This window comes from Homo sapiens, chromosome 3 (assembly GCF_000001405.40).
Source record: "Homo sapiens chromosome 3, GRCh38.p14 Primary Assembly".
Classification (NCBI taxonomy): Eukaryota; Metazoa; Chordata; class Mammalia; order Primates; family Hominidae; genus Homo; species Homo sapiens.
In genome coordinates this window covers 134,783,228-134,808,800 of record NC_000003.12, presented here as the reverse complement: position 1 = coordinate 134,808,800, position 25,573 = coordinate 134,783,228, and the positions used below count along the sequence as shown (strand labels likewise).

General features: G+C 46.2%; 1 protein-coding gene and 1 pseudogene across 1 annotated transcript in view, besides 7 other annotated features; one reads left to right on the top strand and one right to left on the bottom strand.

Annotated features, from left to right (window-relative positions):
• EPHB1 (EPH receptor B1) overlaps nt 1-13,541 on the bottom strand; it is a 465,208-nt gene extending 451,667 nt beyond the window's left edge. The window contains exon 1 of the mRNA NM_004441.5: nt 13,112-13,541. Within this exon, the coding sequence (NP_004432.1) occupies nt 13,112-13,169 (58 nt within the window). The 5' untranslated portion in view covers nt 13,170-13,541. The remainder of the gene's footprint in view (nt 1-13,111) is intronic.
• Nucleotides 5,816-5,875: an enhancer, noted in NCBI's record as "active region_20571". NCBI's record gives its function as "activates an Ori minimal core promoter by ATAC-STARR-seq in GM12878 lymphoblastoid cells {active_cell/tissue: GM12878}" and the evidence as "EXISTENCE:reporter gene assay evidence [ECO:0000049][PMID:35858748]".
• Nucleotides 5,896-5,995: an enhancer, noted in NCBI's record as "active region_20570". NCBI's record gives its function as "activates an Ori minimal core promoter by ATAC-STARR-seq in GM12878 lymphoblastoid cells {active_cell/tissue: GM12878}" and the evidence as "EXISTENCE:reporter gene assay evidence [ECO:0000049][PMID:35858748]".
• Nucleotides 13,166-13,355: an enhancer, noted in NCBI's record as "active region_20569". NCBI's record gives its function as "activates an Ori minimal core promoter by ATAC-STARR-seq in GM12878 lymphoblastoid cells {active_cell/tissue: GM12878}" and the evidence as "EXISTENCE:reporter gene assay evidence [ECO:0000049][PMID:35858748]".
• Nucleotides 13,366-13,415: an enhancer, noted in NCBI's record as "active region_20568". NCBI's record gives its function as "activates an Ori minimal core promoter by ATAC-STARR-seq in GM12878 lymphoblastoid cells {active_cell/tissue: GM12878}" and the evidence as "EXISTENCE:reporter gene assay evidence [ECO:0000049][PMID:35858748]".
• Nucleotides 13,460-13,754: an enhancer, noted in NCBI's record as "tiled region #6102; K562 Activating non-DNase unmatched - State 8:EnhW". NCBI's record gives its function as "activates a minimal TATA promoter and a strong SV40 promoter by Sharpr-MPRA in K562 cells {active_cell/tissue: K562}" and the evidence as "EXISTENCE:reporter gene assay evidence [ECO:0000049][PMID:27701403]".
• Nucleotides 13,816-14,025: an enhancer, noted in NCBI's record as "active region_20567". NCBI's record gives its function as "activates an Ori minimal core promoter by ATAC-STARR-seq in GM12878 lymphoblastoid cells {active_cell/tissue: GM12878}" and the evidence as "EXISTENCE:reporter gene assay evidence [ECO:0000049][PMID:35858748]".
• Nucleotides 16,859-16,928: an enhancer, noted in NCBI's record as "active region_20566". NCBI's record gives its function as "activates an Ori minimal core promoter by ATAC-STARR-seq in GM12878 lymphoblastoid cells {active_cell/tissue: GM12878}" and the evidence as "EXISTENCE:reporter gene assay evidence [ECO:0000049][PMID:35858748]".
• RNA5SP141 (RNA, 5S ribosomal pseudogene 141) lies at nt 25,246-25,365 on the top strand (annotated as a pseudogene).

Below are 25,573 nucleotides of genomic sequence, written 5' to 3'. Positions count from 1 at the left end.
GCCTATTCAGCACTTTAAATTTGATCATGATGCTCAGGAAGATACAGAACATCCCATCAAGAAAGAACCTATTTGTCCAGCTGTCTCCAGACCTCCCTTCCTGGGTTTTTAACTTGCCCATCACTTTCTGTTTCCCCATCTTTTCATCTTCAGGACCATCACAGCCACAGATACCTCCTTCTTCTGTCCAGAATCCATATACTTTCCTTTATTGGACATACCATCTCTCTTACTCGGTTGCATAATTTAGCTGTCCCAGGAAGATTGATAGGTGTGGCCTATCAATGGCAAGAATGCCTTCCCAGCACTCATTCTTGCTTCTCCTGGACAAGCACCCTGACAGTTTTGTGACCAGCTCTCCCCTATCTCAGGCCAGGCAGCTTGATGGGTCTGAGCTAGCCCTTCCCCCTCAGCTATAGAGTTTCATAGACACATGACCCAAGCCTGGCCAATGAGTGTATTTCAATCACCCTGGTAATGGAGTTTGGCTCATGGAGAGGCTCAGGACCCAAGGGAAGCCCAGGAGACAAAACTTCTTCAGCATTTGCTAGAGCTACGGGGAGCGAGAATTTATGTTTCTGCTGAAGTTTCAAGAGGATATGAGTTTGAGGCTGCCAGCAGCCACATGAACATCTCATGAGAAAGCCTATCTGAGGATGAAGTCAACATAAGTGACTGTGCTGATTAGTCTCCATTCATCCCTGCAGATCCATTCTCTACTTTTTTTGCCATTTTCTATGCCTCTGACCTCTATGAACTTCATCAACCAGACTTTCATGCCCTCTGCCTTCTTGTTGAATTCATCATGGGAGGTGCTGGCAGATGATGTTTAAGAGGAGGAGAAAGGGCTCAAGGAATACAAACCCTCCTCCTTCACCCTCCATGCTTGATCTGGGCAGCAGCTGCATTTCTCTGTGTCTCATTTCCGTCAGGGAGCTCCTCTGTCACACTGTGGCTCTTGCTAGGTTCTGAGAGCTTTGGGGAGTATCGGCTTCCCACTATTGTCAGTCCCTGGGTACATCCCCATCCTTATTGGTTCCCTTAATGTTGTTCACACCTCTGTAGAGAGTCTTTTCATTAAACCCTCCTCAGTAAAGCCTGTGAGAGTGCTGTTTTCTGCTGGGACCTTGACAGATACAGACACAGAACTAAGGAATGAAAACAGGGAGACAGTCCTGAGACAGCACTGTTGCCCTGGATATAATCATAACCAAAGTCCCAAACTTTTTTTTTTCTCTCTCTCTCTCCCCTCTCTCTCTCACACACACACACGTGCACACACACACACACACACACACACACACACTCCTTCCCCAAATCCTTCCCACTCTAAGTCTGACCCTCTCATTTGGTTTCTCCTAGCAGCTGATGTGAAACTGCTATACCGCATCCATCAGAGTCTATCACGTGCCCTATTACAGCCTGTAGTCTGCGTGGCTCTGTCTCCCCCACCAGTCTATTAATCAGTGAGCTCCCTGAAGGAAAGTCTGTGTCTTCTTTATCTTGGTGTTTTCAGTTCCGAGTACAGTGCTTCTCATGTAGATGCTCAATAAATGTGTTCTGTGTGAGTACTTGTGACACTGGTGGCTCCTAGGCAGTGCTGGCAGTTCGGTCTCTCTGCTCTCACTCCCCATTTGCCTCTGTAGAATGTGAGCTCTCAAGTCTGGAAGTGGCTCTGGCCTTACCTGGACACCCCAGAGATGGGGCTGCATCATCTCTCAAGGCAGCCTATTCCATCTCGGTTCAGTTTGACTGAAAAGAATTTTGTAATCAAGCCAAAATCTATCTCCCGTGCAGAGCAAACCTAAGCCCACTTGCTAAGAATGCCCTTCGAGTATTCACAGACAGAGAGGGCCTCCCTTCCCCGTTTTAAGTTGTCCAAGCCTGCGCCCATCACTCTCAGTCACATCACTTGTTTACTCCCTTTATAGCCCTTTCCTGAAATTATATGTACATTATTTGTCTTTTTCATGCCTGTCTGTTCCCCCAATAGGATGTATGCTCCCAAGGGCTGTAATATTTCTGGTTTTGTGCCTACTGCCTGGTACATAGTAGGAGATTAACAATATTTGTTATTAAGTGTTGAATGAATGAGGTATCATATCTCCACCCCTTTCCCACCCTTCCCCTAAGTCCCTTTCTAGGTTTATCTAAACCATTGTTCTCCTACCCCTCCTAAAATATTTTCAGTTATTAATTGTTCCAACCCCAAACTCAGTGGTTTTCCACAATTACTACATTGATTTTGCTCAGGAATCTGCAGTTTGGACAGTGTTCTGTGAGGAAAGCTTGGCTCTCCCTACTCAGAGTCAGCAGGGGTGCCTGGAAGGATGGGGTTGCAACAAACTGAAGACTTTTTCATTCACACTTGGCCTCTCATGCTGGCTGTGGGCTGGGACTTGAGCTGGAGCTGGGGCTAGAAATTCTACGTGACCCCTTCATGTTACCTGGGTCTCCTGACAATGTGGTATCTGGGTGACAACGGCAAGTATTTCAGGAGAAACAGAGAGAGCTAGGTGGAAACTGTGTTGCCTTCTATGACTTCACTCCAAAGTTATGCAGAAACACTTCTGCCATATTCCATTCATTACAGTGAGTCCTAAGGCCAATCCATATTCAAAGGGAGAGGAATGAGCCTCCACATTTTGATAGGAAGAGTATAAAATATTTGTAGATATATTTTAAATGACTACATAGGACATGATCTCAGGTTTTTAAGTGTTTGTTGATCTTTTCCTTCTTGTTATTTATTCATTATGTCATACTTATTGACACCTCCTATGTGCCATGTGCTGGGGGTGCTATGTGCTGGGGATGCCATGACAATCAGGATAGAACCCATGCTTCAGAGGCTCACGGAGCTGTGGGGTACCCAGCAAAATAAACACACAACTGGATACCAGTGTGGAATGTGATCCCATAGAGGGAAGCAGAGGCGGCTGTGAGGGCACCCAGAGGGCAACCCAATCGAGTGTGGGACAGGAGAAAGCCTTCCAGGAGGAAGCGATCACTGTGGTGAATTCTGAAGAATAATTTAGGGTTAGCCAGAAAAGAACAGTAAGACATGCAACACAAACAGAGCAAGCAGGTGCAGACCCAGAGGCACACGGGACAGATGAGTCAGAAGGGCCTCTGTGTGGATGAAGTTAAGGAGATGCCCAGGGCATGTGCAGCTGTGCAGCACATGCACCTGTGGACATGTGTGTGTACACATGTACCTGTGTGGAGCTGGGAAAGGAAGTGCTGCTGGGCAGGAGGGCAGGAGGCAAGGTGGACCCAGGTGATGTAGGGTCTTGCAATGATTGGCCCTGAAGGTGCTAGGGAGCCAGCAACGGATTCACACCTGTGGTGTGACCAGGATTAAACCAAATACTACATTATGGTTCGACACCCAAAGTGTGTTCTGACCAGTGCCTGCCCCCGGCCTCTGAGCACCTGTCCAAAATGCGGTGGATTTTCTGATACTGACACCTTGTTCCTTGCCATCTAGTTTACAGCCTGCATTCCACCATCCCAAACCATTTGGAGGCATTGTCAAAGGAGCTGAGAGCATCCCCGGATGGGCTTTCTGGTCCTGTGACAACGGCCCCCAGGAGCAGACAGCCCTGGAGGAACCTGCACAGATAGTTCAGCACCAAGAATTCACGTGAAACCACCTGGAATGAGGCCCCTTCCCAATCCCCCATCCCCAGCTCACCTCCCGGCTTCAGCCTCAGCGTCAATGAGAAAGCCAAGGGCAAAGGTCCTATGTTGATGTGCTGGAAAAATACCAAGAGGAAAACAACAGAACAATTAACTGCAAGGCCCAGCTGCCTTTCACAGATAAGGTATTCTCTCTGCTGCCACCGTCAATGAAGCCACCTGCAATTATTCCTCATCCTCCTGCTCAGCCCTTTCCACTGCCACGGCTCCAAGGGTGACTGGCCACTGTCCAATGGGACTAGGATGCTGAGGGATTTCTCTCCTCAACATCCCCCCACATGTTCTTCCACGCTCAAAGTTGATGCCAAATCCTAGTGTCCTCCTCTGATGTCGTAAGTCTGCACCTGGCCAGATGGATAAAAGCAGCCAGAGCTCAAGAAACAACATGGCCCCAGGCCAAGGGTAAGCAGGACACAGTCCACAGAGAAGAAGTTGTAGAAGTGCCCAAAGACAAAAAGCAGCAGCTGGCCCTTCCTCTGGAAGGTGAGCCTATGAAGGGAGTACCAGAAGACCTGCGCTGTGCCCTGATTCCTCCCCCCCACACACACCCACCAAGATCCAGGCACAGATGCCAACTGCAACCATCTAAGCAACACAGCTTATCAAAGACAATATCTAGATGGACATTGATATGGATTAGCTGTGTCCCCACCCAAATCTTAACTTGAGTTGTAGCTCCCAGATTTCCCATGTGTTGTGGGAGGGACCAACGCCAAGGGAATTGAATCATGGTGGCCGGTCTTTCCCCGTGCTATTCTGGTGATAATGAATAAGTCTCATGAGATCTGATAGGTTTATCAGGGGTTTCCACTTTGCTTCTTCCTTATTTTTCTCTTACCACTGCCATATAAGAAATGCTTTTCACCTCCCACCATGATTCTGAGGCCTCCCCAGCCATGTGGAACTGTAAGTCCAATTAAACCTCTTTTTCTTCCCAGTCTCAGGTATGTCTTTAGCAACAGCATGAAAATGGACTAATACAGACATGCAGCAAAAAAAAAAAAAAAAAAAAAAAAAAAAAAAAAAATAGCCAATAATGACCACAGTGGGGGTCTGACTCGCAGGGGCACATGGGAAAGGCAATGTGTAACAGGGAAATGCAAACCGAGAAGGAAAAAGTTTTCCTCCAGCTGTGGAACAGGTGGGACAACTCCAAAGAGTGAGAAGAGAGCCTGTCCACAGGGTCCGAGCATTGACACCAGAGCAGGACTGTCTGTGCCTTTGATGGCACCTGGCAGGACAAGGATAGACAGCTCCTGGGTAACACATGCTCACTGATTTAATTCACAACTAAGCAAAGTTAAATGGAAAAGGTGACTGAACTGGGAGACAGAGGCCCAGGGAGTTTGGCAAACTTTGGTTTGAAACTTCGCTCTTGAGCCAGTTAACTTCTCAAAGCCTCAGCTACCTCATCTGTAAAATGGGAGAAAAAAATGCTTAGATACAAAGGATATGGGGACCAATATGTATAAAGGGACCAGCACATGACAAATGCTCAATGAGTGGTTGGGAGCATAATCTAATCCTGGATCCAGCATTGCCAGCCTGTAGGACTCCTGGAAAGTTTTTTCCCTTCCCTAAAAACCGACCTCCAGTCCTGCTTCTGACATGTCATGTCAAGACTGTGCAGACAAGCCTGATCCCTTGCTGGCTCCCTCAGGCTTACATGGCCCCCGTAATCAGTCCCAGGGACCTCAGAAGTTATTGCCAAGCTACAGCCTTGGACCCCTGCTCCCCTCGCTTGTCCCCTCCCTTTCTGGCCACCTGCCTCTGCCCATTTCTCTGTTCATTATCACCTTCACAGGGAAATGGAGAAGCAGAGCAAGGAGGTTAAATTCAAACAGTCATTTTGTCACTTGCTGCCAGGAAGTGGGAGGGGAGAGATGAGAGACGCAGGGCCTCAGGTGCAATCTGTGGGCAGAAATGAGTCCTGGTAATTCTCAGAAAATCTCCTATGTGTTTCCACATTGGCCCAGTTCTGTTACAGAGAACTCTGGGGGAACCTCCCATGAGCACCCTCCTTAAGCAGCTGCTAGTGGTGCTGTCTGCAGGTGCTGGGATTTCACCTGACCTGGAGAAACAACTGTACTGGTGATGGAGGGGGAAACAGGACCTTCTTTATCACCTTTTCCCTCTTTTCGCAAGCAGATCATCTTGAAACCTCAATCACCAGCAGGGTCATTATAGTGTAGTGAAGGGCCCCCAGATCTTCAGCTTTGGGCATCCTCCCACAGAGCTAACACTCCATGCTTGCTGGAGAGTGAGTGAGCAGATGAATAAGATGCTTTTCCTGCCCTAGAAGGCTGGGAGCATAATGAACTCATTTGCTAGGCTGTCAAAATGAAATCTTCTCATTCACAAAGTTAGAAGTAAACATACAAGCCAGTTACAGTGAGAGGCATCTGGCAGATAATGCTACATGGTACCAGTGGGGACCATGACCTCAATCCTGTCTGTACCACCTGCACAAGCCTGGGCCTGCTGCTGGCCAGTGGGAGGTCCCTAGAATACAGTCTTCCTCATGGAGGGCACTAGGCTTTCTCATGGAGGGCACTTAGCCTTCTTGATATTGGCTAAGCTCATTCTTTCCGATCCCTGATGTCTGAAAATCAGATCCTGAGCTGCTTCCTACAGAACCCCTGACAGGCTATGAGGATCCATGCCCCACCCATGATTTGCCAAAGGGTCACCATGCCTCAGATTGGACTTTATCTACAATTGTCAGCCCCTGCTTCTTTTTTTTTTTTTTTCGTGAGACAGAGTCTCGCTCTGTCACTCAGGCTGGAGTGCAGTGGCACAGTATTTTTTTGTTTTTTTGTTTTTTTTAGCAGAGATGGGGTTTCACTGTGTTAGCCAGGATGTTCTCAATCTCCTGACCTCGTGATCCGCCCGCCTCAGCCTCCCAAAGTGCTGGGATTACAGGCATGAGCCACCGCGCCCGGCCTGTCAGCCCCTGCTTCTACCACTGCTTCTACCCTGGGGTGTGCACCCACTCCAAGTCCCTGCTACTCTCTCTACCATAATGATCCTTCCTCCAGTCTATTTAACAATGAGAAAACTGAGGCACAAGGAAGGACAGAGCTAACTGTGCACTTGTTTGCTTCCTGTACTTTAAGTCAGATAGAAAGTGGTTTTCCATCAACAAAGAAGAACCAACCCACTGCCCTCCAGGCCTCCCTGGAAAGTGTGTTCCCAACTTTCTAACCCCCAGGGGAATGATCAACAAAAGCCAGCAAAGTGGCTCTAATACATCAGATATCAGGGACCTTTGATGGAGCAGATGGTCCTGACCTCACCACTCAATGCCCCCCACCCAAGCATAGTTAAGCACTCTGACCCAAGGGCCCCACCTACAGCTGCCACTTGAAATGGAATCTGCAGAAGAAGCTGAAGAATTTCTCATGCAAAATTTTGCTTTTAAATATGAAATCTTTCCCAAGGTGTTACTTTATTATTACAGTAATTTCCTCAGAAGGGCAGACATCGAATGCTCTGTTTCTCCACCATCTTTGGAGACATGGAAATCTGACAGAAATATTCAAGTTGCTTAAGTGGCTAGTGCATAAGAGGGAAACATAAAAAGAGCTCTTCCAAGGAATGCAGACTCCTGGAATCCAGGTGCAGGAACACGCTCTCGACAGTCAATGGAGGACAGGTAAGGGTTCGGTGTGCCCCCTCCGCTGCCCCCAGAACACATAGGGGTCCCAGGTTCATCTCCTTTGGGGACACTTCTCTGCTGATCATTTCTTCTTTGGAAGGGCTGGTCAGGGCAGAGAGAGGAACGAATATACCAGTCCTTACTAGAAAGGCTGCAGGACAGGTCTCCAGCCCTGTGTCTATGAGTGTATAGGGCTGCAATAGGGGTGGGAATAGTGGAGTTAGGAGGAAGGTGCAGAGAGAGAGCTACATGGAAACTGGAGCTTGATCTGAAGTGTTGAGGTTGTCTGAACATTTTGCTCATCTCTTCTTGCATGACCATGTAAACCTAAGCTCCCAGTGAGTCAATGAAGTCTCCAATGCCCAATGGCAGAGTCAGCACTAGAACCCTTCCCTCCCCTAGATTCCAGCTGATATGAGTCTTCCTTCATGCAAAGCCTTCAAAAGTGGTGGAGCAAAGTGGCTAAAAATATAGACTACAGAGCCTGACTGCCTGGGTTCAAATCCAGGCTTGGCCACTTACTAGCTGTGTGACCTTATCAAATTACTTAACTATTATATATCTCAGTCTTCTCATCTAAAAAGTGGGAGAGGAGTTGATTATAATAATACCTACCTGATAGGTTTTGTAAGGATTAAGTGAATTAGATCTCATCAGCAGTTTCCAAATATACTGGTGCCAGGCTGTCTGCATGTGAATCACTGGGGCCCTTTAGTAAAATGCAGATCCCCAGGCCATTCTGATTCAGCAAATGCAGAGTTGGGCAAGACCTATTAGGACTTCTGACTGTAACCTGGTTTAGAAACATTCCCCTTGGCAGTGTTTCCAGGAAGCACATACATCAGGATCTCCAGGAAAGCCCACTTAAAATGCTGATTTTTAGGATCCATCCAAACCTGCTGAGCTTTTAGGGTTAGGACCCAGGAGTCTGTAGCAAACTGCCCAGGTAATATACTACCTGAAGTCTGGGAAACACTACCTGAGCTGGTATTCCCCTCTTTGGGCTTCCAAAATTGCCCCTACCTTTTGCCCATGCTAGAAAAACACTACACATCTAAGCCTTAGTGATACTAAGAACATTTAAGGATTAGCTATATATTATTTTAAATTTAGTAATATAAACATATCTTTGATTTTAATAGCATCTTACTTTCTTTTTAATCTAGTACAGAGTGTGTCCTTATATTGGGTATTACTTGTCCCTACTCCTATAGTTGGAATAAGTGGGCAACATGACCCACTCAACAAAGAAAGACACTGGCCAGGTGGACTGGGTAATTTTTCCAAGCAACAGAGCTGGGAGATGAAAAGGCAGGTGGAGTACTCTGGCTTCATGATCCTGCTATCTGTCACCACCCATGTTGATTTCATCTCCATCCTCATGGCCAGACCTCCCTCCTGACCCATATATTCCTTTCATTGCCCCGAGTTCACAAAATTTATTCAAGCAACTAAAGAACATGTAGTTTCTACTAAATAGGAAGCACACATGCTAGATCCAGAGGAGGGGGTCATGGTGCTGTCCTGTGTCCCCTAGCATCACCCTTCTTCTTTGGTCCTATTTGCTTTATCAAAGATTACTTCTCGATGGGTAAAATTAAATGAGAACCATACCATGCCTCTGCCTCATGGGCTTTTCTTATAGCACATCTTGGTCATCGGTACCCATTCTTGTGAAAAAACAAAGTAGGGGCTCTGAGATCTGGGTCTGGGTTGCACAAGTCAATAGAAGGCAGAAGGGGCTGGAGCCGGACACTGTGTGACCTAGCAGGCCCTCCCCAGGCTCGGGAGCATCACAAGCTGCTGGCAGCTCTCTTCTACTAACCCAGAAGGTTTGAGCTGGGACTGAGTCTGGGCCTCTGCAGTTGTTTACATTGCCAAGACTTTTCCCAAGCCATTGCCCAGAGCTGCATTGCCCTCCCTCGCCAGCATTCCATGCGTGGCTTGAGGAGGCAGCTCCACAAACACTGAGTAATGGTGATCGTTCCACTTTGCACAAAAAATAAAATCAGCTAATACATGGAATTTTCTCAAATTTGCTTTTCTTTCTCAGACATTTTTAAAAATCTTTGGTGCCTGCTACTGCTTGTAGGCTCAAGCACGTTCATGGACACCAAAAACAGATGAACACACAGCAAACAAATATTAACAGAAAATGCAGAAACAGCCAATCACTGCCTCACCTTGTGGCCTGTTGAAGACACGTGGGCTTAGTTTGGGGTTTTCCACCACAAACGTGTAATGGAAATGTAACTGTGTCCAAAATGTGTACAGTGAAATTCAGTGCCCTAGCATTTCACGTTGGGGCACGCCACAAAGGGGCACAGTAATTTAGTCGTGCACTCATGCATCAGCAATGCCTACTGGGAACCCACTACTTGTCAACCCTTGAGAAATCTACTACTCAAATACATGTGGACATCCAAGGGTGCCAGGGCCAGGACTTCACTATAGGCTACACAAAAGAGCAGGTCTCCTGGGAGTATTCCCATCAGCCAGTGTGCCGCACTCTGAGGCCTTCTGCAGGTGCATGGGTACTCCCTGGACACAGGGAGTGGGGTTGGGAGAATGCTATGAGCAGTTAGCAATTTCAGGTTGCTGCCTCCCAGGAGGGCCAATGTGCTTTCCAGATCCTATCCCAAAGGGCACAAGACAAGACGCAGCTCAGAGAATGCAAGCAGCTGCCTTCGCTTCACAGACACCAGCAGCCCATTCTCAACAAGCTCTCAGAGCAGGTGGGAAAAGGCACCGGTGGGCTTGAAGAGGCAGTTGTTTGTCAGGACGCTGAGCAAAGAGGCCTGGCTTTGTGTCCAGAAGGCAGGAGGATGTCAGCATTCTTGCCACCACAGCCTGCCTTACTCCCTTCTGAAGACAGACTTAGCCCCAGCGGATCTTTTCCTTGTAGTGGCATCTCTCTCCTCACAGAGCAGAACTGGCTGGAAATGCGGGAGTGTGGGGGGAAAGGAGGGAAGAGGAGCTTTTTTTCAGTCTGGGTTTCCTACACCCTAAGCCAACAGTCCTCCTGCCTGATTATGAGAATTTGAGCCCCCTCCCCTCCCCTCCTCTGCCCCTCTGGCCAACAACCAGACCCTGTCCTCCCTCCTTCCACCCAGGCAGGGGGTGTCTTAGGGCCCTGCCTTCCTCTGGCCACATCTCCTTACCTGGCCCATGATTGTCACTGTCCCTTTGTCCCTGCCCTGGCCTGGGCTGAGGGCCCGCCTGGCCTCAGAGCAATTTGCCCTGGATGGCAATGCCTCACTGAAATTCCACCGCAGACCCCAGGGGAAAGCAGACAGACACATGAGAGTCTGAAATCAGCAGGGAGAGGCGCCCCCTGACCACAGCCGAGTTTGGGAGGGACCTGCTCTCCGTAGGCAGCTCATTGATCCACTTTCTGATCACTATTACTCACTCATCACGAACCAAATAACGCTGGCCCCAACCCAGCTAGGCAGGCGGGAAGGCGGCTCCGTGTGTAGAGAGTAGAAAATGAGCCTGCCTGTGTTCATTCTAGGAGAGGAGGGAGTGAATGGTGTGTAATATCCCTGCGTACTGAGTAGGGACCAGGGGGCTGCTTTAATATTCTGCTGAATGTCGCGTTTCTTTTAACCCTTGCTGGAGAGATTTTCAGCCCACAGAGTCAGGCTCCTTCCTGTCAGGCCACTGGCAAAGTTTCCAGGCTGCAGCAAGGGAAGCCACCGCACCGGGGGTAAGTGGCTCCGGAAGGCCTGGGCTCTGACACAATGGCACCCGCGGGCAGCTTCCGGCAAGCAGACAGGGACCTCTGGCTAGCCAAGAAGAGGGGCAGGGAGGAAACTGACCACGTCCTCATGCCTGCTGTGTTTCCATACGTTTGCTCTCCAAACTACTTCGCTTGCATGCACAGGAACCCAATGCCGAGAGCACGCTCCCCAAAGTGGGCACCCATCTCCTCTGAGACCCGGCCACTGAACCTCTGGGGGCGCAAAGAGCCGCGGGCCGGACCGAGCCTCGGACCTGCATGACGCCACCCCAATGCTGCAAGTCCAGTCTGGAATTGCCCTTGCAAATGCGCTCACCCTGGCTTTCCTGCCCGGTTTGGGGGTATATATCCCCTTGAATTTCCAATTTCAACTGCTCCCACACGTGTCTCTCAATAAGTCAAACCCAGGCATCCCTGCGCCAGGGTGTTGACGGCACTCCACACGGCTCCAGTCTTCTCCTGCACGTTCCAAAAAGCAAACCCCTCCTTGCTCCCCTCCCTACAAAGCCCAGCAGTCCCTGAGGGAAGCAGGAGACTGAGGGCAGACAAAAAGCCACCTTCGGAAAAGCAAGCGAGAGCTTTCTAGGCATTAATCGCCGCACCCCCACGCCGCCACCAGAACAAACGTGGGATGCGGTGGTCTTCGCCAAAAGGGAAGGGAATCTTAGCCGCGCCTCAGGGCCCGGAATGCCCCTCCAGCTTCACTTCCAGAAGGGCAGAGCTTTCCGGAATGGCGGGGGGCACCAAACCATCGTGTTTGGGGGAGTTTCCACTGGGCAACCGGTCACAGTTTCGCGAGGAACGAGTAACAAGCGGAGCGAGCTCCCAGATGGGAACGCTGCGCGGTCGCCAAGAGCTGCTCCTCCCCGGCTTGGAGTCCCCCAGAGGAGTTCCATCCGGAGCAGGACACCGGAAAGTGGGGCTGCTAGCCGGACTGCGGCAGCGCATCACCCCTAGAGTTGGTTTTCTCCCGACAACTCCAACTCCGCTCTCCCGCGGAGCTGTGTTCCCAGGAGGCTGCCGCGGCCGCTGCTAGGCTGCGAAGAACAGAGGCGGGGGAAGGGGCGGGAGGCGGGGAGCTGGGCCGGGATTTCCCACAGGGATTCGCGAGCGCTACCGAGCGCCCAGGCTCCCCGCTGCGCCGGGCACGGTGTCTTTGGAGCGCGCTTTCCCAGCCACCAAGCCGGAGGCACCGCCAAGTCTGAGCTGGCAGAGAGTGACGCTGCCCGACGACTCCCGGCCGCCGAGTATCCTCTCCGGGGTGGTGGAGAGGCTGGGAGACTTTAGGTAGGACCGACCACTCACCCCAGCCCACTCCTGTTCCAAGGCTCAAGAGGCGAAAAGGGTTTCCACCTCTCCCCGACTGACCCTGGAAACCTGCAGTCCCGCAGGCGCCCGGACCACCAGACTGGTCCCCAAGGGTACGGCCAATGAACTCCACCCCTCTCCTTCGGCGGCCACTTGCGGGATACCACGGCAGAGCTTCTCCGGCCCCCGCGCGCAGTGCTTGCACGCCAAGCAGAGTCCACTAGCCCGTGGACTGCGAGCTGGAGAAAAGGAGGTGGCGCGCGGCTGCTCAGAAGCGTATCCGTGCCTGGGAGCAGACGGGCGCCAGTACTCCAGGAGCCGGATGGCCAGAGGCACCCCTTTCTCCCCAACGCCCAGCTCTGGCTCTGCCCCAGAGCTAAGGAGCATGCACCGCAATGCAGCGGGCTCCGAGCTCTCCGAGCGGGGGCTGCGGGAGACCGAGGCTACCAGGGAGTGCCGGGGCGAGGAAGCCGGGGGACTCGCGAGCCAGTTTCGGGCGCTAAGAGCCAGCCGGGGGCGCTCTGGTGGGTGCCGCCCAAGCCCCGCGCTCGGCAGCGGCCGAGGCTCCCAAACCTCCTTGCCCTCGGGTCCCGGGATGCCTGCACCGCAAAGCAGCCAGAGGAACCCCGCGAACCGCGGAGCACAGCAGTCCCAAGGCGGCCGGCACCAGCAGCCAACTTGCTCCGTGGAGGGTACGTTACCTTCCATCGCAGCCACTGCGGATGCCAGGAGGAGCAGTAGTAGATAATCCAGGGCCATCGCCGGCCGACGGCCCGCAGGCCGAGACCAAGCCGAGGCAGCAGCGCCGGGAGAGCGCCGCGTCCCAGGGCGCCGCTGCGCTCTCCGCGGGTGGCTTCTCGGTATCCTTTCGCGCTCTCGCCCGGACCGGACTTCCCGGAGCGCTGCGTGGGCGTGGGCAGGAGTGTGTGCGCGTGGGGCGGTGCGGGCGCGCGTGGGTGTGGGTGTGCATGTGTGTGTGTGTGTTTATGGGAGAGGTGGGTGTGTGCGTGCGTGTGTGAGAGAGAGAGGGCGAGGGAGAACGAGCCTGGGAGAGCGCGCGAGAGCGAGTGCGTCCTGGTGTCACATTGCTAGCTACAGCGGAGCCTACGGGAGGACGGAGCCGGCCAGACTGACGCGGGAGGGAGCGGGATCCCCCACCATCAGCTCTCTCCCCACCCCTAACACCTCCTGTCCAATCAAGGAATCAAACCTGCAAAATTCCCCCGGCCAATCAGGCGCGAGCACCTCCTTACACTGGCATTGTTAGTTTAAGAAAAACTTTTGCTTGCAAGGCTGTGCGGGAGGGCTCGGAAGGCGCTAGGAGGGGTCCGGGCTCCCCCTCGTGGTGCTCTCGGAGAACCGCAGCGGCCCGCCCAACTCACCCTGTCCCCCCATAGGGTGCCCAGCGAAGGAGCTGGGGAGGCCTCGTGCCCTTACATCCCACCCAGGACTGGATCCGCTTTAAATGATCAAACGAGCCTTCGTTCATCTTCTCTGTGACAAGAGCACCCTGCCTACCCTGTTTAGAGCAACTCCAGGGGCGCACCCGTGCCTCTCCTCCAGAGCTCTTCACTCTCTAGCATGGGTTGGTATTTACTAATCGATTTTGTTTATCGTGGGGTCTCTCCCTCATTAAAATGGGGTCACCATTTTCGGATTCTTGTCTATTTTGTTCACTACAGAATCCACAGTTCACAGAACAGTGCCTGGCCTGCGGGAGGCATAGTACATGTCCGTCGAAAGAATGAATACTGTTCAGATAACCTGTGGGCACTTGCTCCAGGGTCCACAGGGAACCGGATTTGCTTCCTGTCCAACGTTTCGCAGTTCTTTTTCTGCAGAAGCCTCTGGTTGCCTTTGGTGTTCACTTCCCAGTGCATTGTGAACTTCCACAGAGGGCCCTGACCCCAGAGGACAGCTCAGCGTGGGGAGACCAGGAGTCACACAGTCAGCTATAAAACAGCAAAGCCTGCAAGAGGGCTCTCCCAGGCCGGTGCAAGGCGAGGTGCACTGTTGCTGTGGGCCAGGCCTTCAGTGTGGGTGGGAAGGACTTAGGCAGCAACTGGGGATGCAGCCTTGGAGATAGGAGCAATTCTCCCAGGCTCAGCTCTCACAGCTACACTTTATCTTCCTGTTTCTGGAGATGGTCAAGGGTTCTAAATCAGAAACTCACCTTGAGGCTGTTATATGTTATGCTGGAGATGTGTCCTTCCCTCCTCTCCCGCCCCCCCTACATACCTGATGATAGTCTGGTCCTACAGGGTCAGGGATGACCCGTTAGGTTCCCCACCCCTCCTCCTACGCCTCTCACCTTGGAGGCACCAATCCTTTCCCCTGGTCTGTTAATGAGCTAACAGTGGGCAGATGCGATATTTCCCTTTGGGATGACTCTCCTTTCTGGGCTTTTCTAAATCAGTTCCCCACACCCCCCACCTCTGCGTGTCTAGTCTCTCCTTTGCTGGGACTTCTTCCTCTCCACCACAGCCAGACTCAAGTCCCCCAATCCTGACAATTCTTTCCTTCCCTGGCTCTGACTCAGGCTGCCTTCCTCCTCCCCTCCCCTCCCTCCTACCCCACCTCTGTGCCTGAAGGGAAGATGTCATCAACCTCCACCTTCTCATCATCCACCTTAATGCCATGTTAGCTGCCCTCTACGCCTCCACACCACCAGCTGTGTCGTGATGTCCCTGGAGCCACCTGATGTCACCCTGGGCAACAACCTGCTCCTAGTTAGCTGTCATCCTCCTGCACCGTCAGCACCTGCTGACATTGGTGTCCAGTAGATCTTTTGGGGCTCTGGCCCCAGTTTCCATGGTCCTGCTTCTCCTCCTACCCGTCTTGCCACTTCTTACTGTTCCCTCTGTTACCTCTTCAGCTTTCAAGAGAGGTATCCCCCAAACTCCATCCTTGGAGTTCGTCCTCCTGGGGTACATGGGCAACTCCTTGGCAGCTTCACTTGCTTTTTTACCCCCAGCCATCCCCTCATGGATGGACAGGTGGATGGATGGATGGGTGAGTTTCACACTCTTCCCTCCCCCTTTCACTATATCACAGTCACTTGGTAGGCATGTCTGGCAAAGCCCCGGCTCTGCCATGTCCTCCTCCTTATGCCCTTGTCCTATGCCTGTGCATCTGACCCAGTGTAAACCCATACTACCTTCCCCTGGACAACTGGAGAGTCTCTGAATGACAGTCCAGCTTCCCTCCCTCCCCTTAATCCCTCCAAACTCTGCTGCCAAACTCATCCTTCTCAAGCCAACCTTGATCTTGTCTCTTCCCTGCATAGCAACCTAGTGGCTCCTCACTGTCTGCTGAAGAGAGACTGACCACTCTAGCATGACATTCAGACTGCTTTGTAAGCTCTCTGAAACCTGCCTTCTCAGCCCAGGCCCTGCTGGTCTTTCTCTGGGCCTAGGGTATCCTCTTGCCATCTCCACAACCACACCCAGGCCAGTCATGTGCTCACCCACGTATTCAGGCAGGCCCTGTTCTAGCTGTGGGAACACAGTAGACAGCCCTTCTCTGAGGGGTCTTACCATGTCCTGGAAGGGCGGCAATAATAAGCAAATAGGCAGTGGCATGTCAGGTGCTGAGGAGAGCTCTGAAGAATCACAAAGCAGGAAGCAGCAAGAGAGTGACAGCGGCTAGTTAGACATGCTGGGAAGACCTTCTGTTTACTGAGCACCTTCCGCCACAAACACTGTACTGGATGTTTACTTGCACAACTAAAATGAGTTGAATTGAATTTCCTGACCTCTATTCCTACCCAAATCCCACCTCTCCCAGGAAGCCTTTTCTTCTGTCCCTCTTCCTGATACCCTCATGTTATATTTCTGTGGGTACTGAATGGCTCTGTCAGACATGGCTGAAGGTATAAATGACCATTATCCAACTAACTGCAGAATGTCACACCTGGGAGTGCGCTTGGAGCCCACCAAGTACAGGGATTTCAAGTAGAACCCAGCTAGGGACTTTGAACTTGTGCCAGGATAAATACAGCAACATCACCAACTAGGCCCTCTAAAAATACTGATCCCTAGGCCTGTCAGTAGGGATGAGGTAGGCCCGTGATATGGTTTGGCTGTGTCCACACACAAATCTCATCTTGAATTGTAGCTTCCATAATTCCCACGTGTCGTAAGCGGGACCTGGTGGAAGGTAATTGAATCACGGGGTGGAGTGGGGGGTTCCCATGCTATTCTTGTGATAGTGAATAAGTCTCATGAGATCTGATGGTTTGATAAAGGGGAGGTCCCCCCTGCACACACACACACACGCTCTCTCTTGCTTGCTGCCATGTGAGATGTGTCTTGCTTCCCCTTTGCTTTCCGTCATGATTGTGAGGCCTCCCCAGCCATGTGGAACTGTGAGTCAATTAAACCTCTTTCGTTTATAAATTACCCAGTCCCAGGTATATCTGTATTAGCAGCGTAAGAACAGACTAATACAGCCCATGAATGTGATTTCATATCCTCCCCTCCCCAATTGACTCTGCTGCATGATGAGGCTTGGAAGCTGCTGTTCTTGGTCCAAGAGCTTACAACTGCCCTGAGGCCTCCTCAGGGGATGCTCATGAAAGTGGCCAAGGAACTGGGGCTTCAGACCTCACCTCTGCTCCAGTAGCTTTTTTATCTTTTTTACTGGGCATCTATATCAGGTTTTTTTTTTTTTTTTGAAGGAACTGTTCTTCAGCAGGAAAAGAAGGAGGGAGGGGAAGAGTAAGAGGAATTCAAGGAGAGGATTTGATTGGGTGGTGTAGGGAACATTAACTCATTGATGACTTCTAGAACATGCTGATGGCTCAGGCAAGAATAGTGTCAGTTTAGGGCTGCTTGTTAATTTCCCTAATAACTCAAGGTATTGACTTTTCTTGAGCAAGTTAAATATTAATTTAGCTTTGCAGAACATTGATCTTTCTCTAGCAATGGGTTATGATTTGTAAATATCCCTGAAGGCACCATTGGTTTGGGATTCCAAGCCTGGGTGCCTCTTTTCCCCTAGAGCATCTCCTTGGCAATTTTTTTTCTGTCTGATGTCAAATCCTCACTTATTTTCTTGATTAATCACTCAGCTATTTGATATCACTAAATCACTCCTTCAAAGTGACAGATGCTTGCTGCTAAGGCCAGCAGCTGAGGGCTCTCAGGCACCCAAGGGTGACTGAACTCTTTTGCTAAGACTCAGAGGCCCATCTGACTAGAAGGCTTTGGGGCAGTCAACCAGTTCACTCCCTACCTCTAAACAGTTTTGTGTCTAAATGTTTGGAAAGCATTTCTAGTGAAAGCAATTGCACAATTTCCCTTGATAATTCTACCCAATATAAAGCTATTCTATTAGAATTTTCCTCCTCACTTATAACCCACATCATATGTGTGTGTGTATATATATATGTGTGTGTGTGTGTGTGTGTGTGTATATGTATATATATATAAAACCTTTTTTCATTCACTACTTATTAGTGGAAAAGGTACACAAATAGCATCCATCCTGTGTATGTCACTTGCATATCTTGTACATGAGAAGATTTTGTTGCCCCATCCTATCCTTTCCCTTTGAAATACTGCTTTACCGCATAAATAAAAGGTTCAGTTACACACTCCATGACCCAGGTGACCTTTAATTAGATTCTTAAGCTGCAGGACATATTTTCATCAATTATTTTTTGAGAGGCAGGTGGAACCTTTAAGATTTATTTGAAACACTTTAATATGGGTAACAGGCAAATAACAAAAAACTTCCTTTCCCTATTTTGTTCTTTCTTCCAACATTTATTCAGCAGCAATTCTGTGCCAGTTGTCTGTGAAGTGCTAGGGACCCAGTGATGGCTGGGACCCAGTCCCTCCCTTTAAGGATCTCATGGTCTCCCAATGGAGATGGTAAAAAAATTAAATGTATTATGGGACTTTTCATCCAAAATGGTCTCTAGCTAGAGGCCTTCAACAAGCCTCTCCTTGCTTCTCAGGAAAATACCTCAGCAAATCCAGACAAATATGAAGAATTATAAAACAAGGTGAACAAACACTGATAGACAACCTAATTGCCAGGATGTGGAAGAAACTGACAATACTTATAAGGTACATCAAGCTGGATTGAGAAAAATCTGTCAAGCGTATGTATGACATATGCCAAGTTCTCTTTTTTAAAAGAGAAGCTGCTTTAAAGACATAGCTAGGAAGGCATTTTGTAATTCCCTCTCTGTCGATACTTGACTCAGACACTCAGGATCTCTACTAACCAGAGAATGGAGTAAATATCTATCATCACCATTGTTCAGTTTCAAGCCAAGCAAAGAACAGTTTTCCTGATCATCCTCTTCCCTTCCTTAGTGTCTTCCACATCTAGAATAGCTTAAAAATGAAATACACAACTGGATAGATGGATGGGCTGATGAAGACACAATGCATTCTTCAGGTAAAAAACAGTCAAGAGGCTGGAGCAGTCACATTAATGACTGTACTGTGACAGTACAGCCTGCTGACTAGAGTTTTTCCTGGGATACAGCATGTCAGAGCACCAGAGAATTGGGATGGTGGTTGGAGAAAGATGCTACCTCAGTAAAGAAGACATACACTAGATGAAGCCTGTTGGCAACTGGCAATTAAGCATTGCTGTAGGTTTATAAAGGCGACTCAGCGATCAAGCAAGTAGACAGCTAGAGGATCGAAGGCCAACCCACTCATCCTGCCTACCAAAATACACTGAGAATTAATGAGTCTTTCCCTTCTCAAGGAGGAGTGAAGAGAAGTCAGGACACCTCAGGGACCTATTACAACACTGCAAAACCAGGAGCAGCATCTTCAAGACCCAGATGAGGAGCATCCTTTTGAAAATGAAGTTCTGCAGAGTCTAGAGACATTTTCAGGAAACTTCTTGGCACACATGAAGACATAAATTCGAATATAGAGAAACAAACTTATGAGAAACAGGTTAAACAGAAAAGACAACAGAATAAAAGAAGAGGGGAGGAGAAAGGGATAGGAAGTGTTTTAAGGAAGCAAAAATGCAGTGTCAGAATTCAACCCCACATTGGTGTGTCAGTCAAGAGTACATTTGTTGCTGCTGAACATTGAATGGATGATATGAAAGATAAACTCGAGAAGCTTCCCAAAAATGCATACAACATGAACAAAAAAGAAAAATGGAAACAGAGAATACAAAACAAACAGAAGATAGAAAATGGGGAACCAACTTATATAAAATTGTGCTAGTTGCTTGCAAGGTGCTGGGGACCTTAAAGGGTCCCCAAAAGAGTTCTGAGAAGAGTTCAGAGTTCTTTAAAAAGAGACCAGTACAAATGCCATGAAAGTAATGACAAAGCTATGAAAGCATAAAATTTTTCTTAGCTGAGTAAAGACGATATATCGTCACATCTAGAAAATGTTTTTGAACCATATGGATTTTTTAAAAGAAATTTTACATCTATTCAAGAACACACACAAACAGACACATTCATGGCCACATAGGAAAACAGGATACCTACAGTGGACTAAATATCATTAATTTCAGAACACTAAATTCTAGGGAAAAAATGAAGCAAGAGCTATAGAGTTTGGGTTTTGCTTGGTTTTGTTTGTTGGTTTCGCTTGGTTTTTTTTAGCAATAGAGTTTTTAAGAGGGAAAATTTGTAACACAAAATATATATAAATCCAGCAAGTTGAAAGAAACAAACATTTTCGGGTCTCAGAAAATTTGCAACACTTTAGAAAAAAATTTACTTAAAAATATATTCCAATTGATAAAGAGATGAAATTTGGTGTCAAGCAATAAAATCAATTGAAATAGATGTCTAAATATTTACAGACTGCTTTTAATGTTTTTTTAAAATTCATCCTGCATAACTGCAACTTTGTACCATTTGACCTATATCTCTCCTTTTCTCCCCCCACCCCACCCTCCGCCACCTGTTAACCACTGATCTACTCTCTGTTTCTATGTATTTCACTTTTAAAAATAGATTCCATGGCTGGGTGCAGTGGCTCACACCTGTAATCCCAGCAATCTGGGAGGCCGAGGCAGGCGGATCACCTGAAGTCAGGAGTTCAAGACCAGCCTGGCCAACATGGTGAAACCCCATCTGTACTAAAAATACAAAAATTAGCCGGGCTTGGTGGCAGGCACCTGTAATCCCAGCTACTCCGGAGGCTGAGGCAGGAGAATCGCTTGAAGCCAGAAGGCGGAGGTTGCAGTGAGCCAAGATCACACCACTGCACTCCAGCCTGGGGGACAAGAGCGAGACTCTGTCTAAAAAAAAAAAAAAAGAATGAGATGATGCAGTATTTTTCTTTTTGTGTCTGCTTTATTTCACTTAGCACAATGTCCTTCAGGTTCAGCATGTTGTTATATATGGCAGGATCTTCTTTTTTAAGGCTGAATAATATTTCTGTGAGTGTGGTGTGTGTGTGTGTGTGTGTGTATCACAATTTCTTTATCCACTCATCCATTGATGGACACAGGTTGTTTCCATATCTTGGCCATTGTGAATAACGCTGCAGTGAACATGGGAGTGCAGATACCTCTACAAGGTTCTGATTACATTTCCTTTTAGTATAAACCAAGAAGAGGGATTTCTGGTTCATGTGGTAGTTTTATTTTTAATTTTTTGAGCAAACTTCATACTGTTTTCCATAATGACTACACCAATTTACCTTCCAACCAAGAGTGTGTCCTTGTCTCCACACCCTCATGAACACTTGCCCCTTATTTTGTTTGCTAATAGCCATTCTAACAGGTGCGAGGTGATACCTCATGGCTTTTATTTCAATTTCCCTATTGATTAGTTGAATACCTTTTCATATACCTGCTGGCCACGTTTATGTCTTCCTTGGAGAAATGTCTGTTCAGGTTATTTGCCCATTTTTAGTTGGGTTATTTGTTTTTTGTTTTTTGAAGGTTTTTTTAATATTGAATTGTGTGAGCTCCTTATATATTTTGGATATTAACCCCTTATCAGATATATGGTCCATGAATATGTTCTCCTAGTCTGTAGGCTGCCTTTCTATTTTATTGATTGTTTCTTTTGCTGTGCAAAAACTTTTTAGTTTGATGTAGTCTCACTTGTTTATTTTTACTTTTGTTGCCAAAGCTTTTTGTGTGATGTCCAAAAAAATCACTGCCAACGCTAATGTCAAGGATCCTTTTCTCTGTTTTCTTTAGGAGTTTCACAGTTTCAGGTCTTATGTTTAGGTCCTTAATCCATTTTGAGTTGATTTCTGTGTGTGGTATAAGAAAAGGGTCCAAATTAGTTTGTTTGCATGTAGATATCCAGTTTTCCCAATACCATTTGTTGAAAATACTCCCTTTTTCCCTTGTATCTTCTTAATGTTCTTGTCAAAAACTAGTTGACCATACATGCTTGGGTTTATTTCCAGGCTTTCTGTTTCGTTCCATTGGTCTATGTGTCTGTTCTTACACCAGTCCAAAACTATTTTGATTACTATAGCTTTGTAATATCACTTGAAATCAGGAGGTGTGATGCCTCCAACTTTGTTTTCCATTCTTAAGATTGCTTTGGCTCTTCGAGGTCTTTCATGGTTTTATATGAATTTTAGAATTGTGTTTTCTATTTCTGTGATGAATGCCATTGGAATTTTGATAGGAATTGTATTGAATCTATATATTACTTTGGGCAGTATGGACATTTTAACAATATTAATTCTTCCATCCCGTGAACATGAGATATCTTAGCATTTATTTATCTTTTTCAGATTCTCTCATGAATGTTTTGTAGTTTTTAGTGTACAGATTTTTCACCTTGTCAGTTAAACTTATTCCTAAGTATTTTATTCATTTTTTTACTATTGTAAATGGGATTTTCTTGATTTCTTTTCCAGATAGGTTGTTACTGGTGTGAATATATATAACTGATTTTTGTATGTTAGTTTTGTGTCCCTTTCAATTAAAATAAAATGTAAAAAGTAATCTCAATAAAGAACATTCATATTGTTAAAATTTTAATTACTAAAGCCTAGATCCAATACTTTAAATTACATTAATTAGGACCAAAGAGAAAAGGAATATGGGGAGAAGGAGAAGAAGTGGAAAGCTATCTGACATTCCTTGTTTACTTAGGAGGAATTGAGACTCTTAGAAATACTGATTTAAAATAGCTAAACTTGGTTTAAAAATGGCTTCAAATACTTAAAGGCTTTTAAAATTATACTCTGAGTAAATATATATATACCTTTGAAAATACTAGAGAAAATAAAAACAAAATATAACTCCTATTTTAAAAATTATTTTATTTATTTATTGTTTTTAAAAGCCAGGCTGTAGGGTGACTACAGCCAGGGACCTGCCACCATACAGAGCCCAATCCCAACCCCTATTAAAAAAAACAAAAGAAAGAAAGAATGAAAAAAATTGAAAAAACACAAATAGAAAGAAAGTTACTATTTAAGCAATAAAAATTTATAAGAAATTACAGAAATCACTTCCAATAAGAAATATGAATGAATTGGGTCAGGCGCCGTGGCTCACACTTGTAACCCCAGCACTTTGGGAGGCCGAGGTGGGCGGATCACCTGAAGTCAGGAGTTCAAGACCAGCCTGAGCAAGATGGTGAAACCCCGTCTCTACTAAAAATACAAAAATTAGCCAGGCCTGGTGGCACATGTCTGTAGTCCCAGCAACTTGAGAGACTGAGGCAGGAGAATCACTTGAGCCTGGGAGGTGGAGGTTGTAGTGAGCTGAGATCATGCCACTGCATTCCAGCCTGGGCAACAGAGCAAGACTCCACTAAAAAAAAAAAAAAAAAAAAAAAAAAAAAAAAAAGAAGAAGAAGAAGAAGAAGAAGAAGAAGAAGAAGAAAAAGAAAAGAAGAGAAAAGAAAGAAATATGAATGAATTGAACCTTGATTAAAAGATAAGCACTTTTTGGCTAAAAAATGTCATTGTATCATATCTCAAAGGGAAAATAAATAGTAAAAAAAAAACCCTTTCATTTGTGCCAATATTATAGACAAAATAACCCACACAACTCTTAATAAAAACATCTAGAAAAATTCAATAATATGTGAAATAGCTGCTTGTGAATGTATTGCAGAACCATAAGAAGTATCCCCAAGAGCATAGAAACAAAGAGGTACAAAAAGCCAGAATGATGAATCTGGGAGCTTACATTGCAGGGATTGATTCCCCAATCTGGGAAACATAATGACTTGAATTTTAATAGATACGCAGGTTGGAAACAAAATTTTAAATGAATACAAGGAAGAAAGTTGGAACTAAGACAACTGCATAAATCTGAAGCTTTAAATTGCAACACCTTCATTGAAAGAATAGAGGAAAGGAAAAGTTTACTCACTGTCCTAGAGGAGAACAAGGATGCTTGCCACTCTTGGCTTGGGTGGAGTGAGTAAGACAAAATAATTTCCCCTCAGAATTCTTATCATAGGCCTTCACTCATATGGATTTCAAATTCAAATTTATGCTACTTGAATAATCTCAGATCTCCCAAGCCAAGAACTCAACTGAAAAAAGCAGTTATAAGTAGATAATACCCTGGGAACATTAGAGGGAAGAAAATGCAAGAGGCACACAAAGTCCACAGAATTCCCAAAACAACATTAGACCCCTATTATAGAACTATCAAAGAAACACTTTTAGATATCAGTATTTTAAATAATAAAGGAAGACACTATAAAAAGAATCTATAGATTTCAGAGAGAACCACATAGAACAGGAAAAATTTTAAAAAGACATTGAAATTAAAAACTAAATGAATAGGTTTAAGAGATTAAAATGCTTGAAGAGTGATCTACTGAACTTTGAATTAATTTTTCAAAATTAACTATAATGTAACACAGAAAAGCAAAGAGACATAAAATCTTAAAAACCATTGAGAAATATGGGTGATGCATAATTTATTTAATACTTAAGAGAAAATAATGGAAGGAATGGGTGGATAAGGAATACTTAAAGAAACAATGGCAGATAAATTTCTGAACTGACGAACAAATGAATTATTCAGATTCAAGAAGCAGATTTAAGAAGTCCTGAGCAGAATAAACAAAAAAAAAATTCCTAACTAGACAAATCATAATGAAACTAAAGGACACCAAAGATAGGGGGAAAAAAATCTTTAAAGTTATCAGACAGAAATGAGAAGTTGCTCACATGAAATGACAACTAGACTTCTCAGCAGCAAGATGTACATATAGAAAGAAAATAAAATTATATATAAAATTTTTAATTCTAAAATTGTATATACCTAAATTTCTATATCCAGATAAATTTGTATTCAAGACTAAGAGCAAAAAAAAAAGTTGTAAAGACATTTTAAAGTAAGACTGAGGGAATTTACCACTAAGACACTATCTCTAAGAGATTTACTAAAGGAACTATTTCAGGAATGAAGGAAATAATTCAGAAAAGCAAAGTTAGAGGAAAGTTTACTTGTTTACCCAATGGTAAACATGTGGGTAAATCATTAGTGTTTCTAAAAACAAGGTAACACTAAAATGTTGAATAACAGCATTTAAGATGGGAGTTGGAAAGCTGAAAGTTTTCTAATGCCCTGGTACCATTCCGAAAGCAAGCAGAAATATTGAATAATTTTAGATGTTGTCAAATCAACCATGCTTTAAACTGTTAAAGTTGACCACTGCTAGATAAGCAGAAGAAAAAAAGGGGATTAATGAAAATTAATCAGTACAATAGAAAGTAGGAATAAAAAAGCAAACTGTATATAAAGCACAAACTGAGATAATGGAAATAAATCTAAAATTACTAGCAATCAGAATAAATAAAACTGAAATAAACTCATCATTTAAAAGACAAATATCAGATTGGTTAAGAATAAATCCAGTTATATACTATTGGAAGAAATACATCCAAAAGTCTACGGCCATACCACCCTGAACGCGCCCGATCTCGTCTGATCTCGGAAGCTAAGCAGGGTTGGGCCTGGTTAGTACTTGGATGGGAGAAATACATCCAAAAACACGATGACTCACATGTATTCGAAGTAAACAGATAAGAAAAAAAAACAGGCAAATATTATTTTTTAAAACTGGGATAACTAGACTAATGCCAAACAAAATAAATATTAAGATAAAAGCATTATTAATAATAAAAAGGATCATTACATAATAATAAATGGAATAATTCTTTTAGGAACACAATAAATTCTGAGTTTCTATGTACCTAAGACACAGCCTCTAATCA